Source organism: Homo sapiens, chromosome X (assembly GCF_000001405.40).
Source record: "Homo sapiens chromosome X, GRCh38.p14 Primary Assembly".
NCBI lineage: Eukaryota > Metazoa > Chordata > Mammalia > Primates > Hominidae > Homo > Homo sapiens.
In genome coordinates, this window is record NC_000023.11 from 100,932,906 (window position 1) to 100,956,044 (window position 23,139).

The following is a 23,139-nucleotide window of genomic DNA, read 5'->3' on the forward strand; positions in this document are numbered from 1 at the left end:
TGTAATCCCAGCGCTTTGGGAGACTGAGGTGGGAGGATTGCTTGAGCCCAGGAGTTTGAGACCAACCTGGGCAACAAAGTGAGACCCTGTCTCTACAAAAAAGTAAAAACAAAATTAGCTGGGCATGGTGACACACACCTGTAGTCCTAGCTACTCTGGAGGCTGAAGTGGGGAGGATCGCTTGAGCCCGGGAGGTTGAAGCTGCAGTGAGTTGTGACTGTGCCACTGCACTCCAACCTGGGCAACAGAGCAACTCTGTCTCAAAAAAAAAAAAGAAAAAGAAAAAGAAAAAAAGCCAGGCGCAGTGGTTCACACCTGTTAATCCCAGCACTTTAGGAGGCCGAGGTGGGTAGATCACCTGAGGTCAGCAGTTCAAGACCAGACTGGGCAACATGGTGAAACCCCATTTCTACTAAAAATACAAAAATTAGCCAGGTGTGGTGGCACACATCTGTAATCCTAGCAACTCCGGAGGCTGAGGCACAAGAATCGCTTGAACCCAGGAGGTAGAGGTTGCAGTGAACCGAGATTGTGCCATTGCACTCCAACCTAGGTGATGGTGAGATTCCGTCTAAAAAAAAAAAAAAAAAAAAAACAGAATGCAAAATCAGTCGTATCATCTAGGTCTTATTTTTCTTTTTGCTATAAACTCCCTGAGAACAAAGACCCTTGCCTGTTAGTTCTGAGCCACTCCCTCATCAGTATCATCCATAGCTGGGATTTGGGCCTGGAGTTAAAACAGAAGTAACTTCCCTGCAGCCCTCACCCCTAGCATTTTTCTTCAACAAATCTGGTTAGAAATGACATCTAAATTAGTCTTGAAGGGAAAGAAGTGCTGCCACATAATGCAGCATGGCATTTGGGATGTTGGGTGTTGCCAGGCAGCTGGCAAGCTCTATTTATATTGCCTGGTGGAAGAGAAGGGTCAGGGAGGGGAATATAATGATATTATTTAATTTTTTAAATAATACTCTTTATTTGGAAATAACTCATATGCCATACAATTCACCCATTTAAAGTGTACAATTTAGTAGTTTTAGTACAAAGTCATGCAGTCATTACCACAACTTAGTGCCGGAACATTTCATCACCCCAAGAAACCCATACCCATTAAGCACTCATTCCCCATTCCCCACTCCTCGCAGCACTAGGCAACCATGAATCCACTTTCCATCTCAATATATTTGTCTATTCTGGATAGAATCATACAATATATGATCATATATGACCTTTTGTATCTGGTTTCTTTCACTTAGTATGATGTTTTCAAGGTTCATCCATGTCGTAGCATGTATTAGTACTTCATTCCTTTTTATGGTAATACTACACTGTATGGATCTATCACAGAGAAACAACCAATTGGCACAAGGGGATGGGTGGAGATATATTTTAAGAAATTAGCTTATGCAATTTAGGGGACTGGCAGGTCTGAAACTTGGGGCAGGCTGGCAGGCTGGAAATTCAGAAAAGAGATGGTGTTGCAGTCTTGGATGCAAAGGCTTGAAATGCAGGCAGAATTTCTATATCGCAGCCTGAAGGCAGAATTCCTTCTTCTTCAGGAGACCTCGGCCTTTGCTCTTATTGCCTTAAACTGATTGGATGAAGCCCACTGACATTATGGAGGGTAATCTATCTACTGATTTTGTTAATCCCCTCTGAAAAATACCTTCACTACAACATCTAGACTGGTGTGTGACCAAACAACTGGGCACAATAGCCTAGCCAAGTTGACACATAATATTAACCACAACAGGATTGTCTCCACTTTTTGGCTCTTATGAGGATCATTTGCATGAATATGTGTTTTCAGTTCACTTGGGTACATACTTGGGAGTAAAATGCTAGATCATATGGTAACTATGTTTTGAGGGATCGCCAGACTCTTCTAAAGTGGCTGCACCATTTTACATTTCCATCAGCCGTGTTCAGCCGTGTATGATGGTTCCACTTTTTCCACATACTTGACAACAATTTTTATCTGTCTTTTTAATTATAGTCATCCTAGTGGATTTGGTTTGCATTTCCCTGAGAGCTAAATTGATTGACTGAGAGAGAGTGTGTGTGAGAGAGACAGAGAGAGACAGAGAGAGACAGAGAGAGAGAGAGTATGTAAGGGCATTTGAACACCAGCTGGTTACGTTCATTCAGTTATTTCACTTTTCTTCTTTTTTACTTAGTCAGATATAGCATTGTGGGGCATTCAGTTACTTCAATAAACATTTATTTGTAAATATTTATAATTGCAATCAGCAAGACAAAGATCTTTGCTCTTAAGGAGGTCACACAGTATAGTGGACATTTGTCCTTTGTGGGGGTTGCTGTCCAGCATATGAACCCCTTTATTTGGGAGAGGGGGCTTAGGAATCTTGGTGGGAAGCAGGTCCCCCTTGCAGTCAGAACACAGGCACATGACCTTGGCTCACCCAATCCAAGGATCCATCCCTTGGACTGGGAGCCAGCGACCCAAAGCAGTGGAAAATCTCTGATTGAGACAGCTACGAAAATGTGCCTTTCAGTTCTCCCAGCATGGGGAATGTAAATGACCTTGGCCCTAGCTAGCTGCTAGGTTCTAAATTCAGCCCAATATTCGCAGCTTTTCTTTGAGGCCACATTGCTTCCAGCCAGTGACTGAGCACAGCAGTGATACTAAGTCAGATCCATTTCCGGAAGACAGAACTATTCCAATAGGCAGCTTTGGCTAAAGGACTCCCATCAGCTAGGGCAAATTTTATTAGAACTGCTCTTCAGGCCAAGACTCTTCCTTCCGAAACTTCTTCTTGCCTTCTCTTATCCATAAATGTCAGATTTACATTGCAGTCTGACAGTTCTTCCAGCCTCTTCCAGTTCTCACGCTTTCTGTCATGGGCATTTCCCTCAATCAATCTCTTGCATATCTAATTCCATCTTAGTATCTGCTCCTTGGAGAATCTGAGTTAACACTGATGGCAGTTAGAGTGGTGGTGGTAGGCACTCACTAGTGCTAGGGAGGTGATCTGGTAATGGCCCAAGATTCGTGAACTTTCCTGTTGCTTTCAACTCTTAGCTTGTCCATTGAGTCATCATGTAGTCCAGGGAGAGTCCCTTTCTCCTCTTGGTGGTAGTAACAGTGGCAGCTGTGATGTTGGCTATATAGGCCTGAGTCTAGTTCTCCAGTCCAGCTGGTGATTTTGTGAGCTATTCAATATGCTTTCAATATATACGTTTTCTGCCTAAATTAGCCAGTCAATTTCTGTTGCTCACAACTGAAAACCCTCTGGATTATACAGGGAAGTGACAAAAACATTCAATCACAATACAGCATGATAAAGGTTGTGTATTAGTCCATTCTCACACTGCTATAAAGAAATACCCATGGCCGGGCAAGGTGGCTCACACCTGTAATCCCAGCACTTTGGGACGCTGAGGTGGGCAGATCACTTGAAGCCAGGAGTACAAGACCAGCCTGGCCAAAATGGTGAAACCCTATCTCTACTAAAAATACAAAAATTAGCCAGGCATGGTGGCGTGCACCTGTGGTCCCAGCTACTTGGGAGGCTGAGGCAGGAGAATCGATTGAACCCAGGAGGCAGAGGCTGCAGTGAGCTGTGATCATGCCACTGCACTCCAGCCTGGGCAACAATGCCAGACTCTGTCTCAAAAAAAAAAAAAAAAAAAAAAAAAAAAAAGAAAAGAAAAGAAAAGAAAAAGAAGAAAGGAAGGAAGGAAGGCAGGCAGGCCGGCTGGCCCAAGACTGAGTGATTTATAAAGGAAAGAGGTTTAATTGACTCACAGTTCCACATGGCTGGGGAGGCCTCAGGAAACTTACAATAATGGCAGAAGGGGAAGCAGGCACCTTCATCACAAGGCGGCAGGAAAGAGTGAGTGCAGGAACGAGGAAGTGCCACACTTTAAAACCATCAGCTCTCATGAGAACTCACTATCACAAGAACACCCCCATGATCCAATCCCTTCTCACCTGGTCCCCCCACCCCCCACACGTGGAAATTACAATTCGAGATAAGATTTGGGTGGAGACACAGAGCCAAACCATGTCAGGTTGTAACAGAAGCACAGGGTCTGTGGGAGCACATGGGGCACCTAACACAGCCTTTTTTTTTTTTTTTTGAGACAGGGTCTCACTCTCTTGCCCAGAATGGAGTGCAGTGGCGAGATCTCTGCTCACCGCAGCCTCTGCCTCCCAGGGTCAAGCGATTCTCTGCCTCAGCCTCCTGAGTAGCTGGGATTATGGGCACGTGCCACCATGTCCAGCTAATTTTTGTATTTTTAGTAGAGACGAGGTTTCACCATGTTGGCCAGGCTGGTCTCGAACTCCTGAACTCAAATGATCCACCCGCCTTGGCCTCCCAAAGTGCTAGGATTACAGGCATAAGCCACCGCGCCCGGCCACCTAAAAGTAGTATTTACATCTCCCCAAATGACATTAACTGTACACGACCTGGAATTGCTAGTCAGCTCTTATCACTAATTTTATAAGCTGCTTCAAATTGAAAGACTTGTGACCATCTCCCCAGTTTACCATTTCTTAGGCAGTAGTTTTCATAGTTAAGTTCATATAAGAATAACTTGAGGGCAGAGAAGGACTACTTGCAGACTCCAGAGTGCCAACTTTTGAACAATGCAGGTGGTCAGAGGACTATACTTCGAGAAAAACTGTCCTAGGGATAGCTCTACAGTCTACTCCTAGTACAGTTTTATCCATCATCCTAGTGTTGATTTCAAAAACGTTTGTAGCAGTTTACACCTCTGTGTCCTGGGCCAGAGTTAAGGTCAACTTCAGAGTCATTCGCACACAAGGGTCTGTCCCTGACACCAAGGCTCTTGATTTCCTTGGGCTGCAAACAAAGAATATTACTTCCCTAATATAATTCAGTAATAATGAAACTCTGTGTGCACATTTTCATATTCTTCCTTATTGGGTACATTAAGCACTTGTTGGACCTTAAGCTGCTCAATCTTATGGTCAAGAAAAGGAGATATTCCAGCAGTGCCAAGAGAAGAAAAGGACTCTCTCTAGACTACATCATGATGACTCAATGGACCAGCTAACAGTAGAAAGCAATGGGAAAGATCATGAATCTTGGGCCATTACCAGATCACCTCCCTAGCACTCCTGCCTCACTTATTTGCCTTTACTACTAAAGAAAGGATCCCGAAACCATAAAGGACTTTGGTTTTAATTTTAAAAGAAAAAAGTAGTTATTATTAGAGTAGTTATTAGTAGTGTCCAGAGCAGCAGAGAAAGTAGGGAAAGTCAGGCTGACAGAGTCAGACCCTAGAAAGAGAAATCAGGTAGACCGGATAGTGACATCACAGTGGGCCGGAAAATGCACAGTCCTGCTTTTTAGGACAGAAATCAGGCCATGCCAAATCTCTCTCACAAACAGCAGTGTGGTATAGTACAAAGAGCTACATTATGGACTGGAGTAAAAAACTGTGGGATTGGCCGGGTGCAGTGGCTCATGCCTGCAATCCCAGCACTTTGGGAGGCTGAGGCGGGCGGATCACCTGAGGTCAGGAGTTTGAGACCAGCCTGGCCAACATGGTGAAATCTCGTCTCTACTAAAAACGTAAAAATTAGCCGGGCGTGGTGGCATGCTCCTGTAATCCCAACTACTCGGGAGGCTGAGGCAGGAGAATCGCTTGAACCCGGGAGGCAGAGGCTGCAGTGAGCCGAGATCATGTCACTGCACTCCAGCCTGGGCAACAGAGCAAGACTCTGTCTCAAACAAACAAACAAACAACTGTGGGATTTAGTCTTGAATCTGCCTCTAAGTCTTCATGTAATCTTGGGTTTCTCTGGAATCTCTAAGATCTCTTCTAGCTCTAACATCCTGTGACTCCCTATTTAAGCATGGCAAATTGATTCTACACACAGCACTGTGGTTATACAGCCACTTGAAGAGGTCAATCACCAAAGTGTCCTAACCAATTTCTCCTAAAGATATACTCTCACATGTGAAATATGTATAATCATGTTGATAATCACCAAAGATGAGATGCAATGCAAATATCCATCAATAAAGAACTGCTAAAATACATTCTGGTACATCTGCAGTAATTATGAAATACTTAGATTCCACATAGTGCTGCCCTATAGCCATAAAGAAGCTCTGTATGTGCTGATATGAAACAGTCTCCAGTATATATTAAAGGAAAAAAGCAAGGTGCAGGATATCATTTATGGTATGCTACAATTTGTATAAAACTTAAGGATATAAAGAAAAAATATAAGGTTATACATATACATACATGTATAGCAGATCTCTGAAAGGATACACAAGAAACTGGTAGCTGATTGCCTCCAGGGAAGTGAAATGGACAACTAGGGAGATGGCAGGGAATATATGTATTAATCTTGTCAAAACATTAAAAAAAGAATCTTAACCAACTGTGCCATAGACCTCTCTTTTTCAACTATCTAACAGAACCTAAGAGATCAAAGTTAGGAGTGACTTTGTTTCTTAAAGCAGAAAGAAGATTTTGAGGCAATGTTTTGGCTCAGCCTGGCTCAGAAGTGTGTAGGTAGCTATCGTGGGTCTTAGCTGTTTCCTTCCCTCCCCGCCCTTGACTTGCAGGTGCATCTTGAGAGTTGCTTCAGGCAGCTGACAATGCAAAGGAAACTGGAGAGGCTAGAAGCCTCTGTGTCAGTGAGGCCTGGAAGAAGAGTGAAGCAGCAACCGGAAGTTCACGTATTCCCAAGTAAGGCACCTGAAGAGACTTTCTCACCCCTTCAGAAACCTGTTGCCACACCTCCAGGGTAAGTCATGGGATCAGCTGACACCAGGCCACATGCCCAGATAACAAATCAAATTTTATTTCCACTATCAGTCCCCCTGAAGAGCAAAAGAGTGTCCATTCTTTTCTTCAGAAATAAATATCACAAATAGCATCCACTGAAAGCTAGTAGCAATCTAAAAAGGACAAAGTTTAAAAAGATATATCATTCATAGCCAAGAACTAATCACAGATTAACACAATCAGTGGGAAAAACAATTCATCCTGTTTAGACTTATTTTATGAAGGATAATCATATATAAAATTAACTGAAGCACTATGCTTTGAAATACAACTCATTCAGCAAAAAGCCTAGCACTCAGTTTTAACATACCAAATGGGCACATTTAACATGTTTTTGTGTGTGTGAAAGGTAATTGACTGGTTTTAACTATTATACAAATTGTAATAAACTAAGGGGCTCTTTAGTTTAAATAATATTAATACCAACATTTATTGAGTGCTTACTATGTGCCAAGTACTGTTGTGAGCCCTTTATGATCTAATTTAACACCTGCAATGTCCTTATGATTTAGGAGCTATAATCATCTCCAATTTATAGAAAAGGAAGTTGAAACGCAGAAAAGTTATGAAAACTTGTCTAAGCTAAAATCACTTAGGTAGTAGAGCTCAGATTTGAACCAAGGAAGTCAGGCTTTGGTCCCTGGGCCCTAGTCATTTAAAACAGCAAACAAATTGTGTTGAAAATTAAAATATGGCCTGCAGGGAAATTTTAGGAGTCAATTTGACAATTCCAAGGGTACCAGCCAGAAAGAAAATCTGAATTTGTGAAGTTCATATCTGAACTACTTTAACAGTCACCTAACTGGTTTCCTTACTCTAGTTTCTACATCCTACACTGTCCCACCCTATTGAGCTTCCAAAGATACTGCTATTATCACATCACTCCCTTCAGCAAAAGCTCCCATGGGCTCCTTTCTGTCTATCTAATAGATCTCAAACTTGAATGTGCATCATCAACATCTGGGGAGCTTGCTCAAAATACTGATTTCTTAGGCTCCAACCCAGAAAATTTGATGTAGTAGGTCAAGGTGGGGCCTGAGAATCTATGTTTTAAGCAAGCCTGGCAAAACATCAGCCTATGTGGACAGCCCAAACTCTGTGTGATAGCATTCAAGACTGTCCATGACCTGGCCCAAACACGCCTAACTCCCAATATGAGTGCTCTATTTTAGAATAGTCATTGTCCTCAAACTTCTCATGTAGGAGATATTTTTTAACTGCAAACATTTGCCCACCCCCTCCAACCCATCAGAATAACCTCTTGCCTTCTTTTCTCCTATCCACTGTACATCCCTCTAGCTCAAGCCCAAGTTTCACTTACTTTATAAGACTCTCTTTAAATTCTCCGGCCCAGTGGATATTTGTTTTCTGAATAATTAAGTCTCTACTGTCTGACCCCAATTCTTTTGGTATTTAACTGGTCTCAAGAGTATATGCCTTGCTTCCCTAATAACAATGATGGCTTTTTCAGGGCAGCTAGAGCTGTCCATTAGGGTAGCCACAAGCTACATAGGGCTATTTAAACTTAAGCTAATTAAGATTAAATAAAATTAAAATTTCAGGCCTGGTGTGGTGGCTCATGCCTGTAATCCTACCACTTTGGGAGGCCAAGGTGGGTGGATCACCTGAGGTTAAGAGTTCAAGACCAGCCTGGCCAACATATAGTGAAACCCCGTCTCTATTAAAAATACAAAAATTAGCTAGGCGTGGTGGTGCACGCCTATAATCCCAGCTACCTGGGAGGCTGAGGCAGGAGAATCGTTTGAACCCAGGAGGCAGAGGTTGCAGTGAGCCGAGATTGCGCTATTGCACTCCAGCCTGGGTGATAGAGCCAGACTCTGTCTTAAAAAAAAAAAATTAAAATTTCATTTCCTCAGTCACACTAGAGCACTAGCATATTTCAAGTGCTCAATAGCCACACATGTATGGATAGCGCAGATATAGAAGATGTCCACATGACAGAAAGTTCTAATGGACAAGCATAAAGAGTCTGCTGTGGCTGTCACAGCTGCAGCTACCTTCTTACATATTCTCCCTATAAACATTGCTTCCTGTGAACTTAACTAAATATGTATCCTGAGAACAAAAAGTGATGGAATTTCTTCTTAAACTCTGATTCCCATTTCCAGTAAAAATAAGGAGCTCAGAAGATGGGTTTCAAATGTAAATATCACTCAGCGTTTCTTTTCTTTTTTTTTTTGAGACTTGGTCTTGGCTCACTGCGACCTCCGCCTCCTGGGTTCAAGCGATTCTCCTGCCTCAGCCTCCCGAGTAGCTGGGATTACAGGCACACACCACCGCACCCGGCTAATTTTTGTATTTTTAGTAGAGATGGGGTTTCACCATGTTGGCCAGGCTGGTCTTGAACTCCTGACCTCAGGTGATCTACCCGCCTCGGCCTCCCAAAGTGCTGGGATTACAGGCATGAGCCACTGCGCCCGGCTTATCACTCAGCATACTATTATTATCTCCATTTTACAGATGAGGTATATGAAGTTCAAAGAAGTTAACTGATCTGCTCAAGGTCACTGAAATAGAGGTATTAGGACTAGAACCCAAACATCTTCCGAGGCTCTCCTCATGAGTCATTACTAGGTCAAATGCATAAAAAACAGCAGGTCAGATCATCAAAGAACAGAAACAACACATTCAAGAGAGTCTCCTCTTTTATTTTCCTCCTTTTTGCCTGCCCTTCTAAAACTCTCTTTCTTACTCTATCTCACATACCCTCTGGTAGATTTTCGAGGTCTTAACAGCCTGGGGAATTTAAAGGCAATTATTAGGTAATTGAGAAAAAAGTAACCACAGTCAATCTGGGAGAGCAGGGGCCATATACTGCCTTTCATTTTCCAGAATTTTGTCTTATCCTATACCCTGTAGACCCTGTACATGAAAACCTATGTTGTTCAGAACTTAGAATTTTGATCCAACTACTATGCCAATAGTCCATTTTAATCACACTGGAGGCCATTTATAGCTTTTTGGTTCTCTGGGTTTATCTCTGTGTCCAGCAGCTCCTGCCAGAGCTAGTCAAACATGACTGAGAAGTGCTAGAGGAGTTCAGCTTTAGGTTCAAACTGTCACCAGCTTACTAGTGTTTCACATTACCTTGTTTACTGATACCCTTAATCAGGTGAAACTCAGCATTCCTGGCCAGTAGACAGGGGGTCTGAATGTGGAAAAAAAAAGTTTATAGCAACCTTGCCCCCTGCCTTCATGTAAAAGAGATACTAACTCCACTCCCCCCAAACTCACCATGCTCCCATAACATGTTCTGAGCTATACAAAGCCTAGCTACAGGAGACAAGAAGCCAAGTTAATGACCATGCAGACCATTTAGATTTTGTTAGACTAAGGAAGAATAAGGAAAACTGGCTTCTCATCCTAGTTATGCAACTAACTGACTGTGTGTGTGTGTGTATGTGTGTGTGTGTATTTAGTGAGAGCTCTTTTCCTTTTACTCTCTATATGCATGCCATAAACATTAAATCTATGCATGTACCATAAACATAAATATTTTTCTTAACTTTCCTTTTACTATCTATGCATGTACCACAAATAATATAACCTATAACATAATAGGATATTGTTTTATGTTTTTATACTTTACGTTAATACTATTATACAGAATTTTCTATAACTTTTTCACCTTTTTTCCTCAACAGTATGTTTCTGTGTTTTTGTGTGTTTTTTGTTTTGTTTTGTTTTGTTTTGTTTGAGATGGAGTTTTGCTCTTGTCTCCCAGGCTGGAGTGCAATGGCACAATCTCGGCTCACTGCAACCTCCGCCTCCTGGGTTCAAGCGATTCTCCTGCCTCAGCCTCCCGAGTAGCTGGGATTACAGGTGCCTGCCACCATGCCCAGCTAATTTTTGTATTTTTAGTAGAGACAGGGTTTCACCATGTTGGCCAGCCTGGTCTCGAACTCCTGACCTCAGGTGATCCGCCCGCCTTGGCCTCCCAAAGTGCTGGGATTACAGGTGTGAGCCACCGTGCCTGGCCAACAGTATGGTTTTCATATATTTTGCTATAGTTCTGTGTTGCTACATACAGCTATAATTCATTCATTTTAACTGCTGCATGGAATCCCATCAGATGAATACATCATAGTTGATGTATTCATTCTGTTGATGATCATTTAGGTTGCTTTTCGTTTCTTACTGTCTCAAACAAAATCCTTCAATGGACATCTACATATATACGTGTATCCTTATGTACATGTGGGAGATTTTCTCTTGGTTAAATATCTAGGAGTGGTATTACTTGGTCATTGGGGTATGCCTAAGTTCAGTTTTGGTAGACACTGCCAAATAGCTTTTCAGAGCAGTTGTACCAATTTATATAACCACCAATAGTGTACAAAAGTTCCAATAAATCCCCATCTTCACCAATACATGGTAATGTCAGTCTTTTTTCATTTGAGCTCTTCTGATGGGTGTGCAGTAGTATCTCATTGTGGTTTTAGTTTGAATTTCCCTCATTACCAGTGAGATAGAGCACTTTTCATAGATTTATCATCTGATATGCTTTCTTAAAGCAGGTATCAACAGAAACAAGAAAAGGGTGGCATGATGGACATGGAGGAGAGGTAGTGACTATGAAATGAGGGTGGGAAGTGAACACTAGAAAGGAGAGTCTAAGGACATTAAATCAACGTTTTTGTTTTGTTTTGTTTTTTGAGACTGAGTTTCACTCTTGTCACCCAGGCTGGAGTGCAATGGCGTGATCTCGGCACACTGCAACCTCCGCCTCCTGGGTTCAAGCGGTTCTCCTGCCTCAGCCTCCCAAGTGGCTGGAATTACAGACGCCCGCCACCACACCCAGCTAATTATTGTATTTTTAGTAGAGATGGGGTTTCACCATGTTGGCCAGGCTGTTCTCGAACTCCTGACCTCAGGTGATCCACCTACCTCGGCCTCCCCAAGTGCGGGGATTACAGGCGTGAGCCACCATGCCCAGCCAAATAAAACTTTTTGAATGCACCAGTTTTTCTGAGAACTAGCCAAGTATACATGAATTTGGGAATTTCTAAGCACAGCAGTTAATGGTGCATCCTTGAACTCCAACCACAAAAAATTCCTGGCAGTGACCTGAGGCCAAGCTCTCCTTTCCACAACAACAGCAGTTCATGCTGTTTCCTGGCATCTCTCACCAAGTTAGTTTCCCAACTGAATCTCAATGCCCTTGTCTCAAAAATGGCAGCACTGGCTTGTCAGATTCCAGCTAGAAAGCCATATGACATCAGTGTTAAAGAGCATAGAAGGGTAAATGCTCTTTGTACCCAGCATCAATCAAACAGAACTTTCTATAGCAGTCTGTAATAGGCAGACTGTAATAACAACATGGTTTATAGTATTGCTTCTCAAATTTTCTTTTGTTTTTCTTTTTTTTTTTAAGACAAGTTCTTGCTCTGTCACCCAGACTGGAGTGCAGTGGTGTGAACGTGGCTCACTGCAGCCTCGACCTTCCTGGGCTCAGGTGATCCTCCTGCCTCAGCCTCCCAAGTAGCTAGGACTACAGGTTATGCACCACCACACCTGGGTGATACACACACACACACACACACACACACACACACACACACACACAGTTTATTTTGTAGAGACAAGGTTTTGCCATTTTGCCCAGGCTGGTCTCAAACTTCCAAACTCAAGTGATCTGCCTGCCTTGGTCTCCCCAAGTGCTGGGATTATGGGCATGAGCTACCATGTCCAGCCCTGCTTCTCGAACTTTAATATGAATGTGAATCACCTGGGATATTTCTAAAATGCAGATTCTAATTTAGTAGGCATGAGGTAAAGCCTGAGACTCTACATTTCTAACAAGCTCTCCAATGCTGCTAATCTGAAGACCACATTTTTATTTTAGAACATGAGCTATGCAGTCAGGCAGACCTGAATTTCAATCCCAGTTCCACTGTTTTTTAGCTATGAAATCTCAGTAGGCTATTTAATCTCTCTGAGCCTTAGTTTCCTTGCCCATAAAAAGGAGATAAACAGGGAGGCTGAGGCAGGAGAATTGCTTGAACCCGGGAGGCAGAGGTTGCAGTGAGCCGAGATCGTGCCACTGCACTCCAGCCTGGCAAAAGAGTGAGATTCTGTCTCCAAAAAAAAAAAAAAAAAAAAAAAAAGAGATACAATTACCACTTCCTAGGGTTGCTGTGGAGATTAAGTGAAACAACGCACATAAAAACATGCCTAGCAGCCAGGCATGGTGGCTCACGCCTGTAATCCCAGCACTTTGGGAGGCTAGGCGGACGAATCACCTGAGGTCAGGAGTTCGAGACCAGCCTGGCCAACATGGTGAAACCCTGTCTCTACTAAAAATACAAAAAATTAGCTGGGCATGGTGGTGGGTGCCTATAATCCCAGCTACTCGGGAGGCTGAGGCAGGAGAATTGCTTGAACCGGGGAGGCGGAGGTTGCAGTGAGCCGAGTTGGTGCCATGCACTCTAGCCCGGGCAACAGTGTGAGACTCCGTCTAAAAAGAAAAAAAAAAAAAAGCCTAGCATGGTGCATGGAAAGAGTAAGTAAGTAATAAATGCTACTTATTATTAATATTCCATGAACTGTCACTCTCAACACATCTATACGCTAAAGACTGCAGTTCAGAATGATTATCTGAAAGCACTGCAAGAGCCTACATTAATCAGAGAGAGACAGATTGAATCACATTTAGTCATATTTTGTTAGGCTTATTTCATTGGATTCTAATTCTTTGAAAATTGAGACCTCATCTGTATCAGTCAGGGTCCCAGCAGGAAACAGATGGCACATTCAAATTAGCATAATTGGTGGAAAGTTTAACAAAAGGACTATCTACAAAGGTGTGGGCAGGGTGTAGGAAAACCAGCAGAGAGAGAGAATGCATAACTTGGGGCCATTACTACCCAATGCACAAGAGGATGAGGGAAGAAACACATAGAAGAAAAAAGAAGAATGTGATACAGAGAGTCCTCACGAGAAAGCTGTGACCTTTAGTTAAGGGACAGTAGCTAGCCTGAGGCAATCCTGCAAGGAGGAAGCCAGAAATACACACCCTGACCTCAATTTCTTCCCTTCCTGTGATGTCCTGCCAGGGATCTCCACTGCTCAAACCCTACCAGAAGCCAAAAATGGGAAAGGAACTCACTGATGTAATCCACATAGTTTGTTCTCCGGCAGCACAGAGCAGGGTATAAAAGGGTGAAGAGTAGATCAGGAGGGTTAAGTAGAAGATACCTGGTACACCACCTGTGACACATACATTCAACTAAAATACATCCAAACCAGAACACTGTATTCCTCTGACCAAGCCAAGAGAGAACAGACTACTGTTTTGGACAAGGTTAAGCTCAACTAATTTATCACGAAATGGGGATCAATAATTTCCAGAGTATCTCCCCATTACATGTCCTATATCATCTAAAACCCAACACAACTAAAACTGAATTCATCTTCCACTGCCAACCTAATTTAGCTTTCCCATTTCCCTACCATGGTAGCCTTTGGATATGCCAGTTTCTCAGCCAGCAACATCCTTTCATTTCCTCTGTGCATATTTACATCTTACTTACCCTTTAAGGTCCAACTCAAATACTTCTCCCTCCTCCAACAGGTCTTTCCCCCAATTACTTTAGCCGCCACTGATTTTCCTTGTGTATGAACTCCCGTGGTGAGTAATTTAGTCACTATTGTCAAGTACTGCTATTTAACTGCTTTGTGTATACATATCATCACGCTAATTAAATACTACACTTCTGAAGGGTGGGAACTATGTATTAACTTTCTTTTCCTCCTCATCAAAGGAAAGCAACTTAGACTTATTGCATATAATGAGTATACAATAAACACCTGAAGAATAAAGATAGGGAAAAAATAGCAGGGAACCAAATTTCCAATCTCATTTGTACATGAAAGCTTTTCAGGAAAACCCTAGCTCTCTGAGGGCCTGCCTGGGCTTATGTGGAAATCTACAGGCACAAAGCGCAGCTCTGCTTATCATCTATCCACTTGGCATTTGAAAAACAGTCTTCTAAATAACCCTTGAGTTAAACAGAGAATCAAAACAGAAATTACAAACTGTAAAAATAATCAGCAGGAAAATCGGAACCCATCAAAACCTATACTATGCAGCTAAAGTGGTACTCATAAGAAAGTTGCAGCATTACATTCACTTATTTATTCCAATATATTCAAATGTATTTCAACTGATAATACATGAATTTTTTTTTTTTTTTGGAGACAGGGTCTGGCTCTTTTGCCCAGGCTGGAGTGCAGTGGCATGATCTTGGCTCATTGCAACCTCCTCCTCCTGGGCTCAATCCATCCTCTTACCTCAGCCTCCCAAGTAGCTGGGACTACAAGCACAAGCCACCACGCCCAGCTAATTTTTGTATTTTTTTTTTGGAGGGACAGGTTTCACCATGTTGCCCAGGCTGGTCTTCAACTCCTGAACTCAAGTGATCCAACCATCTCAGCCTACCAAATTGCTGGGATTACAGACGTGAGTGACCACGACCAGCCAATACATGAATTATTTTCATTGACAATAAATGCACTAAACAGTCACCTCAAAAATACAGGTAAGTAACAAAATAGCATAACCAAAGAAAGTAGAAAGAAAGAATTAAGTATCTTTTTAAAAAAATCAATGACCCATTTCTCACTACTCCTCCCTCTTAAAATAAAACAGAAAACCTTGATGTAAAAACAATCAAGCATGGGAAGACTTTGAAAGGTGGAAAGGACAAGGTGGATTACCTAGAGACCTTAGGACCTAAAGAACACTACACTAATGAGCTGTCTACCATAAATCCCAGATGGGGCGCTGGAGAAGCCTGCAACCTGAAACTGCCAATAGGCCCAGACCCAAAAAAAGAGCCCCTTTCTGTTTCCTTTAGTTAAATGACTAGGAAAAGGGTGGCCTAGCAGAAGAGAAAATCTTTTTGATAATATCCACTCTACCCTAATCAAACATCAAAGGAAAATTTCCCCCTTCCCTGTGGTGTCAGCTGTGCCAAACAGAGATACCCATGTCTGCCTCCACATGGCAGCAGTTAGGCAGGGCAACTAGGCCCTGCGCCTCCCCCACAGGGGTGGTATCAGCAGGACCAAACAGGAGTGAACTTCCACCCTATCTCCCCAGTAGCAAAGAGGTGGAACCAGGCTATGAGAAGTGGTGCTAGATGGCCCTCCAGTTTCCCCACTGGGGTAGTATTAGTGGGGCCATCCCTACCTGACAGCAATGAGTTGGTGCAAGTCATCCCTCCATTCCGCATTCCCCCACCTGGAAGGGGTCTGGCAGTGAGGTGAACTTCCCTCCTTCCCCACAGTGCCAACAAGGTAGAACAAAACAGTGTGGCAGTATTCTGCTTCTCTCTAATCCCTGTGTCAGTCGACAAGGCCCGACAGGGAGCAGAACTTACAATCTCACCCAGCAGCAACAAAGTGATGTGAGTCAGTTCTATGCTTTTGCCAGGGAGGTATCTGCAAGGCTGAGTGGGGAACTAAACTTTCACTTCCATCCATTGGCAACAAGATGGGGCAAGGTGCTTCACTTTTGCCAGTGTCAGCAGGGTCCAGCAGAAAGCTGTATATCCACTCCAACACAGACCTGCACACCACATTTAACCCAGGGTGACTGCCTGCAAAAAAGGAAAAAGAAACAGGATGTTTTTGGTTGTTTTTTTTTTTTTTTGAGAGAGACGGAGTCTTGCTCTGTCGCCCAGGCAGGAGTAGAGTGGTGCAATCTCAGCTCACTGCAACCTCTGCCTTCCTGGTTCAAGTGATTCTCCTGCCTCAGTTTCCCAAGTAGCTGGGACTATAAGGCGTGCACCACCATGCCCAGCTAATTTTTGTATTTTTAGTAGGACGGGGTTTCACTAGATGTTGGCCAGGCTGGTCTCAAACTCCTGACCTCAGGTGATCTGCCCACCTCGGCCTCCCAAAGTGCTGGGATTACAGGCATGAGCCACCATGCCCAGCCAGAAATAAGATGTTTAGTCTCACAACACAATACCTAAAATGTCAAAAATACAATAGAAAATCACTTATACCAAGAATCAGAAAAATCTCAATATGAATGAGAAAATAAAATCCACAGACTCCAGTGCTGAGCTGACACAGATGTTGGAATGATCTGACAAGGATTTTAAAGCAATCATTATAAAAATGCTTCAACAAGCAATTTAAAGTATGCTTGAAACAAATGAAAAGAAGTCTCAGCAAAGAAACAGAACATATAAAAAAGAACCAAATGAAAATTTTAGAATTAAAAAATAAAACAATAAAAATTTTAAAACTCACTGGATGGGCTATAGCCGAATGAATATGACAGAAGAAAAAAATCAGTGAACTTGAATATAGAACAACAAAAATTACCCAATGTGAACAAGAGAGAAAACAGACTAAAAAGAAATGAACAGAGCCTCAGGGTCCTAAAGGACAATGAAGAAAAACAGAACATTCGTATCACTGGAGTTCCAGCAGAAAAATAGAAAGACTAGGGGGCTGAAAAAGTTCTGAAAAAATAATAGCTGAAAACTTCCCAAAGGTTAAAATGTTGACAGTAGAAGACTGTGGTAAATTACTTATGTATAATGCAATAATTAGAACAACCACTTAAATATCCATATAAAATATATATTCATAACCTATATAAATAAATGAAAATGGAATTATATGCACCAAACAACAGACTGCAAAATACATGAAGCAAAAACTAATAGATAGGAAAGTGCAAATAGATAAGTCCACAATTGTATTTAAAACTTGTAACATTTCTCTCTCAACAAATAACAGATCAAAATCAAAAAGGATATAGAAGGACTGAACACCACCATCAACCATCAAGGTCTAATTGACATTTACAGAATATTTCACCCACCAACAGCAGAGCAGATGTTCTTTTAAAGAGCACATGGAATCTTCACCAAAACAGATCATATCCTGGGTCATAAAATAAACCTAAACAAAAGGACTGAAACTATGTTAAAAGAACTAAAGCCATAGAGTATATTTTCTGAGCACAAGTTAAACTAGAAATTAATAACTAAAAGACAATGGGAAAATCTCCAAACATTTGAAAATTAAGCAACACACATAAATATACCATAGGTCAAAGAAGAAGTCTCAAGGGAAATTTAAAAAATATATAAAACTGAATGAAAATAAAAATACAATATATCAAAATGTACGGAATGCAGCTAAAGCAGTGGTGACAACAAAATTTATAGGACTAAACACTTACATTAGAAAAAAGGAGGACAGGGCTGGGTGCGGGGGCTCACACCTGTAATCCCACCACTTTGGGAGGCCAAGGCAGGCGGATCACCTGAAGTCAGGAGTTCGAGAGCAGCCTGACCAACATAGTGAAACCGTGTCTGTACTAAAAATACAAAAAATTAGCCAGGCATGGTGGTGGGCGCCTGTAATCCCAGCTACTAGGGAGGCTAGGGCAGGAGAATCGCTTGAACCCAGGAGGTGGAGGTTGCAGTGAGCCGAGATCGCATCATTGCACTCCAGCTTGGGCGACAAGAGCGAGGCTCCATCGCAAAAAAAAAAAAAAAAAAAAGGAGGACAGAGGGAGGGAGGGGGACAAAGGTTGAAAAACTACCTATTGGGTACTACATTTGCCACTTGGGCAATAGAATCATTAGAAGCCCAAACCTCAGCATCATGCAATATACCCATGTAACAAACCTGTACATGTACCCCCGATTCTAAAATTAAAAATTAAATTAAATTAAAGAGAATCCCCCGGGGGTGGGGGGTGGGGGGGAAGAAAAAGAAGAAAAGGAAAACACTCAAACAAATAATCTAAGTACCCATCTCACCTTAAGAAACTAGAACAACAATAGCAAGGCAAACAGAAGAAAGGAAGTAACAATGTTAAGAGCATAAATCAAGGAAGTTGAAAACAGAAAAACCATACAGATGATGACTGAAACAAACAGGTGATTCTTTGGGGAAAAAAAATCAATAAAATTGATAAACCTCTAGAAAGACTGACAAAGAAAAAACAGAGAAGACACAATTCACCAATATCAGGAATAAAAGAGGATAATAAGAGAATACTATGAACAACTCTGCATGGATAGATTTGATAACTTAGATTAAATAGACCAATTTCTCAAAAAGCACAAACTACCACAACTCATCCAATACAAAATAAATAATTTGTGAATAGCTTTATAACCATTAAAGAAGTTAAACTTATAGTTTAAAAATTCCTAAAAGAAAAATCTCCAGGCCCAGATGGTTTCACTAAGAATTATGCCAAACATTTAAAGAATTAATACAAATTCTTCATAATTTTTGCCAGAAAAAGGGAGGGAATTCCAACTGATTTTATGAGGCCAGTATTACCCTGAGACCAAAATCAGACAAAGACAGTACAAATAATAATAATAATAATAATTATACCTCACAACTAATTGTGGTTTATTCTAGGTATACAAGTCTGGTTCAATATTTGAAAATCAATGTAATCCACATATCAACAGGCTTAAAAAATAAAAACCACATGATCATATCAAACAATGTAGAAAAAGCATTTGACTAAATTCAACATCCATTCATGATAAAAGCTCTTAGCAAACTAGGAATACAAGGTAACTTCATTAACCTAGTAAAGAATATCCACCAAAAAACTAGAGCTAACATCATACTTAAGGTTAGGGGTGGCAGTGGCAGTGGCATGGGGGTCGCTGGCCTCCATTAAAAAAAAAAAGTTGAAAGACAATGCTTTCTCCAAAGATCAGAAAAAAAGGCAAGAATGTGTGCTTCTCACCACGGTGATTCAACATAGTACTGGAAGTTCTAACTTGCTCAATAAGGCAAGAAAAATGAAATAAAGGAATAAATATTGGAAAGGGAGAAATAAAATCATCCCTATCCTCAGACGACATGACTGTTTACGTAGAAACTCTCAAAGAATCAACACACATTAAAAACAAAACAAAACAAAAAAAACCCTACTGATACACACAACAAATTAGATGGATCTAAAGGGAATTATGTTGAGTGGAAAAGCCAATCTCAAAAGATTCCATTTATATAACATCCTTAATGATGAAATTACAAAGATGGAGAACAGATTAATGGTTGCCAAGTTTAGGGACATGGGAGGAGAAGAGGTGAGTGTGACTATACAGAGGTAGGAGGATCTTTGTGGTTACAAAAAGTCCTATATCTTTATTTTGATGGTGGTTACACAAATCTATGCACGTGTTAAAACTGCACAGAATTTTGGGACAACTGGATATCCACCTGCAAAATAATTAAGTTGGACTCTTACTTCACACCACATACAAAAATTAATTGAAAATGGACGACAGGGCTGGGCATGGTGTCTCACACCTGTAATCTCAGCACTTTGGGAGGCCAAGGGGAGGATCACTTGAGGCCAGCTGGGCAACATCGTGAGATCCTGTCTCTACAAAAAATGTTTTAAAAATCAGCCGGGTATAGTGGCACATGCTTGTAGTCCCAGCTACTCTGGAGGCTGAGGTCAGGGGATCACTTGAGCCCAGGCGTTCAAGGCTGCAGTGAGCTATGACTGCACCACTGCACTCCAGCCTGTGCGACAAAGTGGGACACTGTCTAAAAAAACAAAAACAAAACAAACAAACAAACAAACAAAAAACACTAAACTAAACTAAAATGGATGAAAGACTCAAGTGTAAGAGATAAAATTTTAAGACTCTAAGAAGAAACAGGCATAAATCTTCATGAACTTGAATTAAGCAGTGGTTTCTTAGATATGAGACCAAAGGCACAAGCAAAAAAAAAGGTAAATTGGACTTTATCAAAATTAAAAACTTTTCTGCTGCAAATAATACTATCAAGAAAGTGAAAATACAACCCACATAATGGGAGAAAATTTTTGCAAATCATATATCTGATAAGGGACTTGAATATATAGAATAAATAAATACCTCTTAAGGCCAGGCGTGGTGGCTCATGTCTGTAATCCCAGCACTTTGGGAGGCAGAGGTGGGCGGATCACCTGAGGTCAGGAGTTCAAGAACAGCCTGGCCAACATGGCAAAGCCCTGTCTCTACTAAAAATAGAAAAATTAGCTAGGGGTGGTGGCATGTGCCTGTAATCCCAGCTACTCAGGAGGCTGAGACAGGAGAATCACTTGAACCCGGGAGGTGGAGGTTGCAGTGAGCCAAGATCGCACCACTGCACTCCAGCCTGGGCAACAGAGTGAGACTCTAAAAAAAAAAAAAAAAAAAAAAAAACCTCTTAAAATTCAAAAATAAAAAGACAAATTACCAAATTTCAAATGAACAAAAGGCTGAAATAGACATTTCTCCAAAGAAGATGTACAAATGGCCAATAAACACATGAAAAGATGTACAATATCATATTAAACATCAGAAACACGCAAATCAAAACCACAGTTAGATGCCACTTCATGCCCATTAGGATTGCTAAAATCAAAATGACAGCCGGGCGCAGTGGCTCACGCCTGTAATCCCAGCACTTTGGGAGGCCAAGGTGGGCGGATCATCTGAGGTCAGGAGTTTGAGACCAGCCTCGCCAACATGGTGAAACCCCATCTCTACTAAAAATACAAAACTTAGCCAGGTGTGGTGGCAGGCACCTGTAATCACAGCTACTTGGGAGCCTGAGGCAGGAGAATCACTTGAACCTGGGAGGCAGAAGTTGCAGTGAGCCAAGATTGTGCCACTGCACTCCAGCCTGGGCAACAGAGTGAGACTCTGTCTCAAAAAAAAAAAAAAGTGGCAAAATTGGAACCTACATACATTGCTGGTGGGATTGTAAAATAATACAGCTGCTTTGAAACTGATCTGGCAGTTCCTCAAAAGGTTAAGTATGGAGTTAACATATGACCTAGCAATTCCACTCCTAGGTATATAACAAAGAGAAATGAAAATATATGCCCATAAAAAACTTGTACATGGATATTCATCACAGCATTATTCATAATAGCCAAAAAATGAAAGCAGCCCAAATGTCCATCAACTAATAAATGAATAAACATAATGTGGTATATCTATACAATGGAACATTATTCAGCAGTAAAAAATAAATTACTGAAACATGCCACAACATGGATGAATTTTCAAAACACTGTTAAGTGAAAAGTGCCTGTCACAAAAGATTACATATTGTATGATTCCATTTATATGATATGTCCAAAATAGGCAATCCATAGAAACAGAAAGTAGATTCCTTTTGTCTATGGCAAGGGTAGGGAAAAAAGGCTAGTGGCTGTTAAGTGATACAGAGTTTGGGGCACGGGGGGAGTGATAAAATGTTTTTAAATTACTGGCAGCGATAGAGGCAAAATTCTTTAATATACTAAAAAACGATGAACTGCACATTTTAAATGGGAGAATTGTATGATATGTGAATTATGTCTCAATAAAACTGTTATTTTAAAAAATGCGGCCTGCTTCCTGGCCACTGGTGTGGGCGTGGACAGGAAAAGAAAAAAAATTGTTTTAAAATAATAAAAATGCATAGGCCTATATACACACAAATGAGTACATGCAAAACTGGTGAAATCTGAATACAGTTTATACATTTTATCAACACCAATTTCATAGTTCTGATATTGTACTATAGTTACACAAGTGATTACCATTAGCTAAAACTGGGTGAAGGGTACATAGGACTTCCTTATACTATTTTTACAACTTTCTGTGAATCTATAATTATTTGAAAACAAAGAGTGGCTGGGTTCAGTGGCTGATGCCTGTACTCCCAGCACTTTGAGAGGCCGAGGCGGGTGGATCATCTGATGTCAAGAGTTCAAGACCAGCCTGGCCAACATGGTGAAACCCTATCTCTACTAAAAATAAAAAAATTAGCCAGGCATGGTGGCGGGCACCTATAATCCCAGCTACTCAGGAGGCTGAGGCAGGAGAATAGCTTGAACCTGGGAGGCGGGGGTTGCAGGGAGCTGAGATCATGCTACTGCACTCCAGCCTGGGTGACAGAGCAAGACTCTGTCTCAAAAATAAATAAATAAAGAGTTTTCTTTTTAAAAAAGCAAAAACAAAAATCCTCGATATGAATGTTTATAGCAGCTCTATTTATAATTGACAAACATTGGGAAACAATCCAAATGCCCTTCAAAGAACAGAATAAACTGTGGGTATATCCATACAATGGAATACTGTTCAGCAATAAAAACAAACCATGTATACGCACAACAGCTTGGATGAATTTCAAAGCCATTACAATGAATGAAAAAAGCCAGCCTCAAAAGTGATTGCACCAAGTCATCGAATCAACCTAAATGCCCATCAATAATAGACTGGATAAAGAAAATGTGGTACATATGCACCATGGACTACTATGCAGCCACAAAAAGGAATGAGATCA

General features: G+C 41.3%; 1 protein-coding gene across 1 annotated transcript in view; it reads right to left on the reverse strand.

Annotated features, from left to right (window-relative positions):
* The window catches only part of XKRX (XK related X-linked), a 72,428-nt gene that overhangs the window by 45,990 nt on the left and 3,299 nt on the right, over positions 1-23,139 (reverse strand). Inside the window, exon 2 of the mRNA XM_011530955.2 lies at positions 16,203-16,421. The gene's annotated coding sequence lies outside the window, so the exon portion shown is untranslated. The remainder of the gene's footprint in view (positions 1-16,202; positions 16,422-23,139) is intronic.